The sequence below is a fragment of the Homo sapiens genome, chromosome 11, assembly GCF_000001405.40.
Source record: "Homo sapiens chromosome 11, GRCh38.p14 Primary Assembly".
Classification (NCBI taxonomy): Eukaryota; Metazoa; Chordata; class Mammalia; order Primates; family Hominidae; genus Homo; species Homo sapiens.
In genome coordinates, this window is record NC_000011.10 from 128,409,697 (window position 1) to 128,423,932 (window position 14,236).

The 14,236-nt window shown below is 39.0% G+C and overlaps 1 long non-coding RNA gene across 1 annotated transcript in view, besides 1 other annotated feature; it reads left to right on the plus strand.

Annotated features, from left to right (window-relative positions):
* The first annotated feature begins 3,451 nt into the window (after nt 1–3,451).
* Nucleotides 3,452–14,236, plus strand: part of LOC124902789 (uncharacterized) — a 40,983-nt gene continuing 30,198 nt past the window's right edge. The window contains exon 1 of the long non-coding RNA XR_007062948.1: nt 3,452–3,762. This is a non-coding gene — a long non-coding RNA (uncharacterized LOC124902789). The remainder of the gene's footprint in view (nt 3,763–14,236) is intronic.
* Nucleotides 12,631–13,131: an enhancer, noted in NCBI's record as "H3K4me1 hESC enhancer chr11:128292222-128292722 (GRCh37/hg19 assembly coordinates)". NCBI's record gives its function as "activates a minimal SCP1, AML or CMV promoter by ChIP-STARR-seq in naive H9 embryonic stem cells {active_cell/tissue: H9 hESC(naive)}" and the evidence as "EXISTENCE:reporter gene assay evidence [ECO:0000049][PMID:30033119]".

Consider the following 14,236-nt stretch of genomic DNA (forward strand, 5'->3'; position numbering starts at 1 on the left):
TATTATAATACTATTGCTTCAATCTTGGCCTCCTTCCAACCACTGGGAGACAGAGAAGTTGCATGAAGGATATGTGAGGCTATGTTAAACCAGAATGATGATAACACTGCTTCTCCACACATAAGTCATACCCATTCCCACTACCACTAACTCAAATATCTCTGGTGAGCAGGATAATTTCTAATGCTCAGCTAAATGGCCCTTTATTTCAAGAAGTAGAGAGATCTACATTCAAGGACACTTTTTTAAATGGGCAGATCTTGAGATTGTAATGGAATATTTTCTGTGGATATTATTGTCACCCAGGTGAACTTCCTTCAATTTTTATTTTTACATAATCCCTTCTCTACCATCCCTTGATCCTTTTGGCTAGATTTAAATGAAGAATAAAGGCTGTACTAGAACCTACAAGTCCAGATATATAACCTGGCACCTGTCTATATCTCCAATCTCCTCTTCTATCCGTCTCCCTCTCTTAATCAGTTTTTGATAATGGTGGCCTGATGTTCTTTCCTACCACAGTCCCCAGCAATCTTCACACACACACTGTTTCTTCAGCCTGGGATTCTCTTCACCATCTCTAAAATGTAAGCAGCTCCTACACATCCTTCACTTACAGAGACACCGTATCTTCCACACAGACACTCCTCGGTCATCTCCAGACTAACTCGCTGCTAGTGAGCAACTGCAACTTATGTTCCCATGTATCCATTCAATCTTCTCTTAATAAGCATATTCCCTCATTTCTGGGGGACTCTCTGTCCCTCGCTCTTGAACCACATCTCATTTTGGTGAGGCTCCACATGGCACAGGCTTATGCCAAATGGTGGTTGGTATGAAGATGGGTTCATTACACAATCATACTTTTTCTGAGGATGTTGGAATCAACATCTCACTTTTTCCTACTGTCTTGGAGCTGGGATGTGAGCTGTAATGCCGCTGTAGCTGGAACCCTCTCAAAATGGCATTAACACAGTAGACGCAGAGCTTTGAAATGGAGAAAGAGAAACCAGATATAAATGGCTATGGAATTACTGTTGCCAGGGAAGCCTGAAGGCTTCAACTTATAAAATTCCTCTTCTTCTTCTTCTTCTTTGTTTTTATTTTCGATTAAAGCAGCTTGACTTGAGTTTTCTCTCATTTTTAAAAGAAAAATTCTCCGTTGCACACTTTGAGCACCCTGAGTCTTCTCACATTTTGGCATTCACGACAAGGGTAAGCATTTGTTCAATTTCTATCTCTTTCATACTAGATTGGAAATTCCATGGAAGTTGGAATCCTATGAGTCTTATATATCACTATTTCTCTCGTTTCTAGTACAATGTGGAGCACATAATGAAATATCAATAAAATATTTCTGAATTTAATGAATGAATGAATGGGAGATTCTGAGATCCCAACCCCTATCAGGCCTTTTGTTCCATGATCCTGATCTGAAAAAAGTGAATCTAGTTCCCAGTGCCTAGACTTGCTGTTCTGTTATGGAAAGATCTCTATTAGGGAGCATTCCCACAGTGTTTTCAGTCCCTCACTCCCTTGAAGAGTAACTTATCTTATGCCTTGGCTCTGTAGCTTGGCAAACTCTTCATGCACCCTAACTCCACCACTGCACAACTCCTATAAAGTCTGAACTTTGATTGGAGGTGATGAGGAGAGGAAGTGTTCATGCAATGTAGAGAATCTCTTGAAAGCCCACATGACCTTTGTAAAGCCTTATTTTTCAAGAGCTTCAGTGGCAATAAAGGCAATTGTTTAATCTTCAACCTGTGGAATCCATTGGCTATCCCTTAGCTGGTTATAAACAAAGGTAGGAAAAAAATGGGATACTACTTATTTTCCTTGTGAAGCCCAACATATGGTTGGAAACATTTAGAAATAGAAAAGGATTGGAATTTGGTAAATTAAATGGCATTTTTACCTCAAGGCTTCCTGTGGGGCCTTGATTATAGGCATGAGGCTATAGATTTTAGCAACTAGGTATTGTGGGATTTTGACCCTATGTCACGGGGTTGGTTCCTATATCTGTGTGGCTGGTTTTTAACTAGTGCACTTGTAAAGGCCTTAGCCTTTAGAAGTAAATCATATGGCATTTTGACTTTTATAAGTCACTAGAGTTAACGGCAACTTTGTTTGCAAATGATAACTTTTTGTAACATTCAGAAATCTAAGCAAATGCCAACTAAATGGGGTGAGGGGCTTAGTAAACCTGTGCAAGCCATGTTATTTCTGGCAAGGATCTGATCAAAGGAAAAGAGTCTTCCTGTTACACACATTTAGGCACTGTGGCAGAACAGGGAGGAGCCGAGGGATATCCAGGAAGGGGTGCCGCAGAAGAGTCGTTTGCTGTTTGAACTGTGTTTCTCAGTCAAGAAAGGAGTTCTCTATTTTAAACTTCAAAGGTAGCTACTTTGCGTTTGTGCTACAGAGCACTGTTATATGTGAGATGCTAGCTTTACACTTTTAAACCAAGAATAGTTAGTCCTTGATTAAGTACCCATAATTTTGTTCATTGTTGATATTATTTTGAACCTCTTTTAGAGCCTGGAGAGGAGGTAGGGAAGAAATAACTTTGAATTCAAGTGGTTTATCCACAGATCCAAGAGTCACCACAGAGTAAATTGCTTTAGTTAATTACGTAAGTTTAGAAAAGGGCCTTGGACTTTAGAGTTCCAAGCTACAGTTTTTCCCATGGAAAAGCAGGAGATTGTTTTAGTAAACGAAGAAGAAAAACTGAGGGTCCTTATTTTAAACATACCATTATCTTAGAATGTTACAGAGAAAAAAAATTGATGAAATTATTATTAACCTGAAGGCCAGAGGCAAAATTTAAATCCTAAAATACTTGCTGTCTAGGAATCAAGGCTGCTCAGAGAAATCTAAGAATGGAGTAGTTTGAGAACAAAGAAACAAACATGTTTCACTCACACAAACAGAACAAGAAGAGCAATAAAGTATTAAGAAAAATTATCCAAAAATAGGGGGAAAAAATCAAAGAAGGGTGGGTGGTGTTTCCTTTCGATATCATGCTGGAGCATTGCTTAATAGGCCCACCCAAGGATTCTTTCATTTTCCTGGGGAATTTGCTTATGTTTGTCATTCCTTTTATAATTTTATTAGAGTGCAGACATTGTAAAGTTTCAGGTTAACTTGCATATTTCAGTCCAGTAGAGAAGATAATCCAAAAGGTTATAGTTTTATTCCCCTGTAGAACATTAACCAATTTAATACCTATTTTACTTATTTTACTTAAATGCCTGTAAAATGTCCAGTTCCTCAAAACTTCCCCCTTTGAGTAGCTTTACCATCTTACTGATTCCCTTATTAACAAATGAATGTATATTTGAGAACTAGTCCATCCATATTTGCATGAGAGTACTGTTTTTAACTTTCTGAAAATTAATCTTTAACTGTTTTGAAGGTCCCACTGACCTACCCGTGGAACTCATCTTCCAGAGCCAGTTCAACTGTGTTGCCTAAAAGTACATCTCACAAATTGTTAAAGTCCTGAAATGTCTTTTTTGGGTTCCTGGAGTGATTCCCAAGTGGCACCTACAACTTCACCTGTCTTGACTTTTTCTGGTCTTTTTCTCCTGATTTTGTATTTTCACTTTTGTTTCTTTACTTGACCAAGTTTGGCTCTGGGTATGATTTATCTGTGGCTGATGTGGTATTCCCCATAGACGGCAACAATGATTGAGAATCTGGTTTTGTCATCTGTCCATTTGGTGATCTCTTGGATAACAAGAATCTAGTCTCTCTAAGGTGAGAAACAGTAGATAATGTGGTTAATTAATTTTTGTTTGTCTTTTTGTCTACCCATGAGCTCAAATAAATATTGTATGTCTTCCAAAAAGGATAACAAATCTTTGAGATCCAGCCCGGTGAGTGTGTTTTTGTGTTTACTTTGACTCATGTCTGAAGTTATAGAACTGAAGCCATGGGCTCTCTGTATATCTGTAAGTGAAGAAAGCCTTTACCTCTCAGTACATAAATGTGAAATATTCTTCTACCTCTGGAGTGTATTAAGAAATTATGTCACAAAGTATTTTAAATTATGTTCTATGTTGTAATTAGCTTAGAGAGAATACGTGCTTAAATGAATCTATTATTTTCCCAGAATTCAGAATATTTTCCTAGAAAATAAACTAAAATTTTAATATTTTAAATATATTTTAAAGACTATACTTTAAGTATTTTTTAAAAGTATAAAAAGCCCTTTTTATAAAAATAATTAGCCCAAAAGCATTTTTATGTAAAAATCCAAGTTTACTGAATCAAGGTGAAATTTTTGTTAGGTCAAACTGGTTTGTTTGGCCATTTTGTTTCAAAATAGCCATATATATAGTTCCCCTGATCTTATTAGTGTATTAAGCGTAAGTATATATTTTAGTTTTATAAGATTTGAGGTGTTTCCTGATAAAGTGACTAGTTATTCTGAACTTCCTAAATTTCTTATATTGACTTACTGATCAAATTAGCTAATATGACTTCTACATAATCATGATTGTGAAAATTGTAAAATTATGTTTTCAACCAAATTGAAATACAATTTTAACAAAGTTTTAACACATTCTATAATGTTTCTGCTTAAAAATAACTTCCAAGATCCTTAGTTAATTTTAAGATGGACTAACATTACACCTAGTTAATTAATGGCTAATTGTTGGATGCCTAGATAATTTCCAAGTAAGATAGAATACTCCAAAATTGATCACCATATACATAGTATATATATATATATATATAGAGAGAGAGAGAGAGAGAGAGAGAGAGAGAGAAAGAGAGAGAGAGAGAAAGAGAGAGAGAGAGAGAGAGAGATTGAGAGAGAGTAAGAAACTATATGTACATAGTTTTTTACTTTTATATGTCATGGAGTGGCTACACCTTTCAGTCATGTTAATGAATATGCTCTTTTTTGCCACTTTAGAAAGGATTTGTGTGGCTATAGGGGATTGTATTGTGTATGTCATATCCTTGCAAGTCTGCTAAAATGCTTGTGTATGAACAGACAATTATCAATCACCTACCTCCCAGGTTTTTCCCGTGAAAGTTGAAGATAGCCAATTTAGTTACAAGTTATAGTAATATGGGTGATTAATACTATGCTAGCAGAGATACTAGTGGGAAGATAAGATTATGTTTGCAAAGTGTACTTTAGTTTATCAAGGAAAACATGATAGTGGTTTTATTCTAAACTGAAGTATCTGATGTTTTCAGAATACAACAAAGGATAGTAAAAGAAAAACTTGGATGACCTGAATGTATTTTTAAAAATTGAATGCATTTATAAACTTGTAAAAGTTTTCCAGAAATTCAGTTTTGAGTCTTGTCTAAAATAATTGCAAAATTCCATCTAATAACTGCAATAAAATGTGTTAAATTTTTGACAAAGTTTGTTATTTGTTATTCATAAGGTAACTTTTAAAGAGAGCTTGTGCATCTTTATTGCTCACTATTGTATTAATGAAAAACTAGAATTAGGCTTTCATTCTGTTAAAATTATAATTGATCTTTGTACATTTAGTTTTCTCTCAACAAGAGGTAGAAAATAGTCTTCTTTACTACCTATGTACCCTGTCCAGATACCTATGTGGGAAGAGTTGTTAGATCAAAGAATAATTTTATGTTAGTAAAATGTCATTAATATAAATGTTCACAAATTGTTTGCTTTATGGATTGGAAGTACCTGGAGATTTATAATGTCTTCAGTCTTCATGGTATTTTCTTATCCTCAGGAGAAACATTGATCAAACCTTATGAAATAGTTATGTATTGCCCCCCAGTAGAGAATTTTACATTCCTCCGTTTCGATATTATTGATGACTACAATAAATTAACAACACAGCATGTGGTTAATTTAATCTCACCCACAAATATTTTCTACTTTCCTCTGATGCTGGCTACCTGTTCTGTCTTCAGCAAAGGACAATCTTACAGCCTCATACGAAGACCATGCCATGTACTTTTAATAATTGATATTTCAGGGTGAAGAAATTCCTAAGCATGGGCTTCAGAACTTCAGGTTTACAGAGCTTGGGCAATTGTCAGACTGTACCACTGGCCCGAGTGGGGATTTCCAGGAATGGTTTTAGTTCAAAAGCAGATGATGTCATCAACACAGACTGCTACCCCATATATAGCAGCACAAGAATTAATTACAGGGCAGGATGAATGGATAAAGAAGATTTAGTTACGGTGATTTGGCATATTATTTACTTTTCAATATTCAATACTCTGATAAAAATATGGAAAGACCTTTCTTTTCCCTTTAAAATGTATCTCAAACTTTCAATTTAACCAACTCTGGTTTTGCAAACTAAAATTAAACATTTGTGAATGGTAGCTGATTCTCAATGACCACTCAGAATTTAGAAATGATTTTGATGCTTCATAGGCCATATGGTCTCTGTTGCATCTAGTCAATTCTTATGAATATATCTAAATTTTCAACATACTGGAGAGTATATCTAAATACTAAAGTAGCCATAAATTATATGCAAACGAATGAGCATGATTATGTTTCAATAATACTTTATTTATGAAAACAGGTGATGGGCCTGATTTGACCCAGTGGGCCACAGTTTGTCAACATGTGATCTAAAGCATCCTAAAATTTTTCTATTTGCTACCCTGGGACCTTGATTATTTCAGGGCCAACCTAATTTCCAAGTCCAAGGTATATGAAGCATAAGCTTTCTTTGGAGGACTTTTTAATGGGCCTTTGGATTGGTGAAACCATTTTCTTTTACCTCTGTCTAATTGGATATTTTATCTTCTATGTGGTAGAGGCTAACAGGCACCAGTCATCTTCTACCCAAGTTGGAATTAAGAGAGAAACACCTAAGTTAGACAAGTAGGGATTAAAATGTCAGTTTTATTATAGATAAAATCCATTTCAGAGAATCCAGCTGAGGTTTACAGCTAGTGACTATGCAAGTAATTTATTCTGAATTAAACAGACCTGCTCACCCAATCACAAGCACATCTGGACACAGGCCTCTCCACATGGACCTATGTCGGTAAAAGCTAGAGTGCAAAGCAACAAGGATGTGTTCGCTCTGCAGCAATATCTCAGGAGATGAGGAAGGAAGGTGCTGAATTATGCATCCCCAAGTTTATCTCCCAAATTCTCAATTGGAAAATATTATTCCTTCTTCCCTGGAGAGGTTTGAGTTGGGAGACTAAAAAGCCAGGAGTATTTCTCTGCTACAGACTTATCCATAATGAAATACAAACACAGGGTGGAAAGAAAGGTTTCCCTCCAACACCTAAATAACTTCTTACTCTTTTACTCCCTTGATTAAAATGTTAAATGACCCCTCTTTCCTCAAAAGAAAAAAAAAATCAGTTCTGATATCTTATCCTGGTATTAAACATGCTTCACTCTCTGGCACTAGACTACTACTACCTAGTATGACTCTCCTCTCTGGCCAGGTAAGTCTGTTTATAACCTCTGTAAGATGACACTTAAATTTTGCCTCCTTGCCTTTGCCAAGGCCATTGCTTCCACCTGGAATGCACTCTTTAATTGTTTTACTTGATTCATATCTATCTTTCAGCGCCCAGCTCTAGCCTCTGTGAAGCCTTCCTGGATCACTCTAGTTCTCAAAGCCCTCTCTGCCCTTGAACTACTAAAGTCCTTACTGTCTGTATCTTAGGCATTTGCAGTTGGTGTTGTTAATTTTGCATAATTATATCCTATCTCCAAATTGAGATGTTCAGTTCTTTGAGGATCAGAAACATTTGTTAGGCATCTTTATACCCTCAAAGCAACTAGCACAGTGATTTCACATAATGTAAGGGTTCATATGTTTGCTCATGTGTTATATACCCTTTAAAATAATTTATTAAATAATTATTTAATTACTTATGTTATGTTATAAATATATAACAACAACGACTTCTCACTAATCCAGACTAGCTCCATTAGTAAAAGTTAATGAGGATGTGCTCTATTCAGAATACGTTTCATGTGTTTTTGTGCTGCTGTTGCCTAGAACCATGAAACAGATTTGTAGTTGGTTGTTTCCAGTCCTGAGGAAATGTGGGCTTGCTGAGCTTCTGAACTACATCCTTCTTGTGAGCAGCTTAGATTTCAAGGTTACGTGCTTCCAGAAATAGAAAGGGAGTATTTAGATTCTTTCCTTCCCTGTCAAGAAACTCTGTTGAATCATCTTTTGGCAATAATGCCAAAGTAATTTGTAAGCGTTAGAACATTTGTGCAGACAGCATAAGTTCCTTCAAATAATGCAGTTGCATAAAGCAGTAATGTTAATTAGTCAAAGCAACTTTTTTAAAATCAGTAGTTCTATGCACATGTGACACCACCTTGGTAAAAAGAGCTTTAGAAATTTGAAGAAAATTTTGAGTTGTCCCAATATCGAGAGGGGATGCCACTGTCACTTATTGTGAAATAGCTAGGGATGCTAGATGTCCTGCAACGTGTAAGGCATTCTCATGCAGTGAAAAATTGCCCCACATTCTAACTGGTCTTCAAATGTCCCTCCATACATTTATGTGGATGAAAACTATTTAAACTTATCTGAGCCTAACACTTAATGCCATTTACATATAAACACCTAGGATCTAGTTTTTGTACAGTTTAAATACATGATTTTGTACAGTTTGAATTTTTGCAACTGTTATGTAAATCAAAGAAAGATTACGTTTTGTCTCATATGGAAATTTAACAAGCTTCATTTATCATTGTGAAAAATCATGTTACCAGTGGAAGTACCACTTTTGGTATTTGAATACCCATTGCAATACACCCATCAGATGTGGGACTATCATCTCAAATATTTCCTCCGTAACGGATTTTCCAGAAAAACCTTTTCTCCAGATGTGTTCAAACCCTAGTCTATCCTGCTTCCATAAACACTAAATACAACCTCAATTACACTTATCAACTTGGTTTATAATTTTTGTTTATATATTCATGTCTCAGCTTTTAAACTGAGAACAACTTAAGAGCAAGGACTATGCCCTATTTATTCTTATATCTTTAGAATCTTAGACAGTACCCAATATATAGAAGGTATTTTATAAGTGTTTAGTGAATCCATTCATTCATTCTTGCTTTCATTTTATAAAAAATATTTATTTTGCACTTACTATGTACAAAACACAGTGCTAGATGATAAAAATATTGCAGTGAGCAAATCAGATATGGATATTAATCTTATGGAGCTTAAACTTTAATCAGGAAGAAAAAAAGCATCAGTTACCAATTTTTAGCTTCTATAGAATTATCCTAAATGCCACAATTAATAAGTACAAGATGTCCTTTTCGGGTATGAATGAAGAAATGAGGCCTAGGCTGGAAGAGAAATAGAAAGCGATATTTAAGTGTATCAGGTATCTATTGCTTCATAGTAAGTAGACCTCAAAGTGGCTTAAAATAACAACGATTTAATTATCATTTACAAGTCTGTGGATCAATTAAGAGGTTCTGCTGATCCAACCCCAGCTCTAATCTCAGCTGTGCTTCCTTATGAGTTTATGGTCAGCTGGGAGTTGGCTGGTCTGGGACAGCCTCAGTCAGGATCCTCCAGCAGACTAGCCTGGGCTTTCTGGGTAATGGTGGGGTTCAAAGAGAGTAAGCCCAGGCCTGCAAAGCCTTCTGAGACTCAGAATTGGCACAGTCACCACTCTGCAGCATTTCATTGACCAAGGCAAGTCACAAGGCCAGCCCAGATTCACAGGGTAGGAAAAGAGACTTCACCCCTCGGCCATGGAAGGAGCTGCAAAGTCACATTTTAAAGAGGGTAAGAGTGTAGACACAGGAAGGGGTGGCCATTGTTGTAATCAGCAGCACCAAGTTAAGGCGTAAAGAAGGGATAGGAGTCAACCAAACAGTTAGCTGAAGAGAACTGTGGTCAGCATGTCAAGGCCCTGAGGCAAGAAATAGCATGCAGTCGTCCAGAAGGCTAAGAAAGCCAGAGCGGCAGCATGCTGAGAGTGAGGGGTGAGTTGTACAAAATGAGGCTGGTAAGAAGGAAAGGGTCAGATGTTGCAGAGCCATGTAGTGTGGGCCTTGTTGCGATTTTCATCCTTTATCTGAAGAAATGTTTTAAGCAGGAGAGGGAGATGATTAGTTATTTAAATTTTCTCCAGTGATACCAATGTGCAACCAAGGTTGAAACTCTCTGTGTAAAAGAAAGGCACAACTTAGGAAGTTGTTATTACTTGTTATCCAGGTGAAAGACGACAGTAGCTTGAATGAGTGTAGTTACTTAGTGAATGAATGAATAAATAAAATTAAACTCCAAGGGAGAGATTTAGGATCCACAGGAAGACTGCCTTGTTTCAAATCACAGCTCCAGCACCCACTAGCTGTACTTGCTGGGGAAACCTCAGTACATTCTTTCATCCCTTTGTGCCACAGAGCCTTCTTTCCCAAAACGGAGATAGCAATAATACCTACCTTAGCAGTGCATTATAAAAACTAATGCATTAATGCTCATAGAGCAGTTATCATCATGCCAGGCAAATGATAGGCACTCCATAAACGTTAACTACTGTGATTGTTGTTAAAAGGATGATGTCTGAGGCAGTACAGTATCTCATGCAGAAAAGCTCTCATCCCAAAATGAATCTCTATTCTAATCCCAACTATACCCTGTAGCTCTGACTGTGCTCATGTGGTTGCAATTAAGCCAAAGCCCAAGGTGGGACCAGATACTGTCCATTTCATCTCGGCTTGTCATCCATCCTCCTCAGGTCTGCCTGGTGCTCTGACATCTGGCTTCCACTCATCTGGGGGAGGACAGGGAGAAGCCAGACAGCCATGAATCCTGCTGTCTGCTCACAAATTCGCAGTCTAGGGAGGGCTAGGGGGAGTTGCTGTCAGGGGATATGTGTAGCTCAGTAGCAGAGGCTGATGCCCTTGGGCTGTGCCAGGACTGGGGGTCAACTAAAATCCTTCCGGAGACTGCAGAACCCAGTCGTGGCCTGGCTTTCCCTAAAAACTCCCCAGCGACTAAAGGTGAAACACCTTAGAAGCAAGGAGGGCCATCGGAGCCTGAACCTGAGCTGTTTCCATGTGTGCGTACAGCCTTGTGGGAACAGAGGGAGAGCTCCGTTCTCAAGAAAGGCCATCATACGTAATGAACTGTTTTGACCAAATTACATACTTAAAATATGGCCTAGAACAAAGGCAGAACACTAATGAATCAGAGTGGTGAGGGTCTTTGAGTGGTAGAATTAGAAATGCTTTTACTTTTTTCTTTTTTGCCTTTTTGATAATAAGCATACCATTTTAACAATCAAAACAGTGGAAATTTACAAATGAAACTCTAAGTATGTCAGGGAGTTCCCCTCATTCTTAGCCCGTGAGTTGCTTCTTATAACCCTATAGTTTAATTCCAGAGAAAAAAGGTTTCAAGTAGAGCCAATCTCAGTTTACTTCACTTAGGGAGATTAGACACATACGTGACCCCAGCCAAGCCACCACAAAAACGCCCCCAGCTCTTGCCCCATATCTCCTACACGTCAGCTCTGGCCACTTAAAATTTCTCTTGCCTATTGCTTAGGACAATTGGCCAAGATCTCACTGGTGATGTAAAAGTTGAGTTGAATCTTAGATGAGACACAGAGTGCTACTTACTACATATAAAGTACTTAGCATAGTTCCTGACTAAAGAGAGATTTGAAGAAATGTTATTAGCAGGATTTCAGTCTTTCTCGCCAGAACACACTTGATGTTGACTGAGATCCCTGAGCTCTGGTCCTCTGCCTGATGTGAAACATAAACAAAATTAAAAGGAAGTCAGATAATAAAAACAGACCCTTGCTAGAATGTCCCTTGTTGAAGTCACCTAGGTGCTATTGGTAGATACAAAGTGTTTTATGAGCGATGCTGGTAAGAGCTCTTTTCCAAGTTATCTCCCCAGGCACCTCTGCCTGAAATTGGTGGTGGTTACAAGCAGAGTTTTGAAGAAAGACCTGGGTCTGGACCCTCTCTCCCCTGCTTACAGTTGTGGGATTCCAAAAAAGCTACTGTCTCTGTTTCTTATCTGGCGCTGGGGCAATGACTCCTGCCTTACACAGCCATTGTGTGAATACTAATCCATGATGTCATACCGCACATGCCCAAGAGCAGGCAGGAGGCCCTCTCCCTCACTTCTTCCAGGCTCTGATGGAATGGCAGCTTAGTAACAGCCTTGCTGTAGTCACCCCGTATTCAGCAGAGGCTCTCCTCCAGCCCAACACATATGCACAAAGGCTCTCCCCAGCCTCCTGCCCTGCTTCACCATTCCCCAGTGTCTTTATCTCCACCTGAAGTTTCACATGTACTTGTCTGTCTCTCCGAAGAATTTAAGTGCCACGAGGGCACGGTGGTTTATTCACCTCTTTAATAGTAGCTGGCATGCAGTAGGCACTCTGTAGGCATTTGGAATTAATGAATAAGTAAATACCTGGATTAATTAACTAGTATTTCAAGGGAGAGTGGGATCCTTGGGAAAGAAGGATAGATTACACCACAGTTTGCTATAGAAGGATGCCTAAGATTGGTCTTTGTCAGTTAATTACTCACTGATATAACATTGGCTAGTCAGTTGCTCTTGAGCCTCAGTTTTCCATATCTAAAAAAGAGACAATGTCACTTACCATACTTACCTCAAACAGCTAGATGGAGGATAAATCTCAAACATGGGAATAAGTCTGCTTTGAACACTGTAACTCACCATGTAAAAATGAGAATTTGGATTTTTTTAAGAAACTTAGCAGTTAATTTCCTGGGTAATATCCTAATAGAGAAATGTCCCACGTGGTATGGGACAAAGGAGAATGCCTCATTTGGATCCACATCTGATTTTAAACCTTGCTGCATCAACCTGACCCACCCAACACAACTTCACTCCCTTGGTCCCAGATTGGCAGGCACACAAGCCCTGAGGACAGTATGGCTTCAGGTCTCCCATCCGCCCTGTCAAGCAAGACGCGCAGCTTGGCACAGCCAGCCCTGTAGCCAGCCCAGGCCTCGTAATGGGATACAGAGCTCGTCGCTAGGTGCAGCAGAGTTTGCATCAGGCGTTGTCACTGTCTGGTGGTTGCCTGGTGACCCTAATGGAAAATGAGTGGAGGCAGCCCCTACCACAGAAACCACTCCCTCAGCTGGCAGGCTTGTCGGAAAGCCCAGTGCCATGGGAGGGGGAGGGGCTGCCACAGAGGAGCTGTCACCCAGGCGCCCTGTGTAGGTGGTGGCAGGGACGGGGAGAGAAGGGCGCAGAGCCACAGGAGGGCTCAGCAGTGGTGTCTGCTCTCCCTTCTGCATGAATTGTTGCTCATAAAAGATGGGTGAGCCCAGCACAGTAACTAATGCTTATCCCCAGGCCCAAATTTAGGTAAAAGCACACAAAAAGTCTCATCAGTGGTCAATGCTCCACAGCTCCAAACACAGGAAGGTGCATTCTCAAGCTGTTATGAGAAGCTCACTCAAGCTGATGGTATTGACAGCCACAGCCCCCATGCAGGGAAGGCTGGACCCGACACCTGCCCACGAGAAGCAGCATACCTGGGACTGGAGGGACTTCCTGGCCTATAAGAAGAACACTAAGAGGGGAGGAGGACTCGGGCTGATTGGGAAAACAGATGGTGAGCTCCATCCGTGGGAAAATAAATGACAGCGTGCATTTAAGAGGTTGAGCCCCAGAGCCAAGCCTGCTGAAATGCCAGCTTATCAAAAGCACAGGAGCACTGTGTGCTAGACGCTCTATCATACTCTCTTCCATCCTGGTTTCTCTTAATCCCAAGATAATGTCTGTAGGCATTGGAAAGTCTTGCTTGAGAGACGAAGAAATGTAGGCTCAGAGAGGTTGAACAGTTTGTCTGAGGTCACACAGCTACTCAATCACAGGATTTAACACAGGCTTTTCTGCTTTCAAGTCTAACATTCCTTCTCCTAACATCGTGGGAGAAAGTGATTTTCCACCAGCATACCAACTGTCTTTCTCTCCTCTATTCCCTTTCCCGAATATCTGGCAAGTAACATTCCCCAATTCAATATTATCTTTTTATGATCTTGAGAAATCAAGAATTAAGTTCATTGATTTATTTGTTTGTTTATTCATTTATCCATCCAAAAACCTATTTATTGAGTAGCTACCAATTCCAGGCACCAAGCTAGGTGCTAGGGAGTCCACAGTGAACAGATGTGGTCCCAGTCCTCAAGGAAATTGGAAGATATTTATTTAGCCCTCTAAAAGATAGTTTACAGAATTGTGAAGCAGCT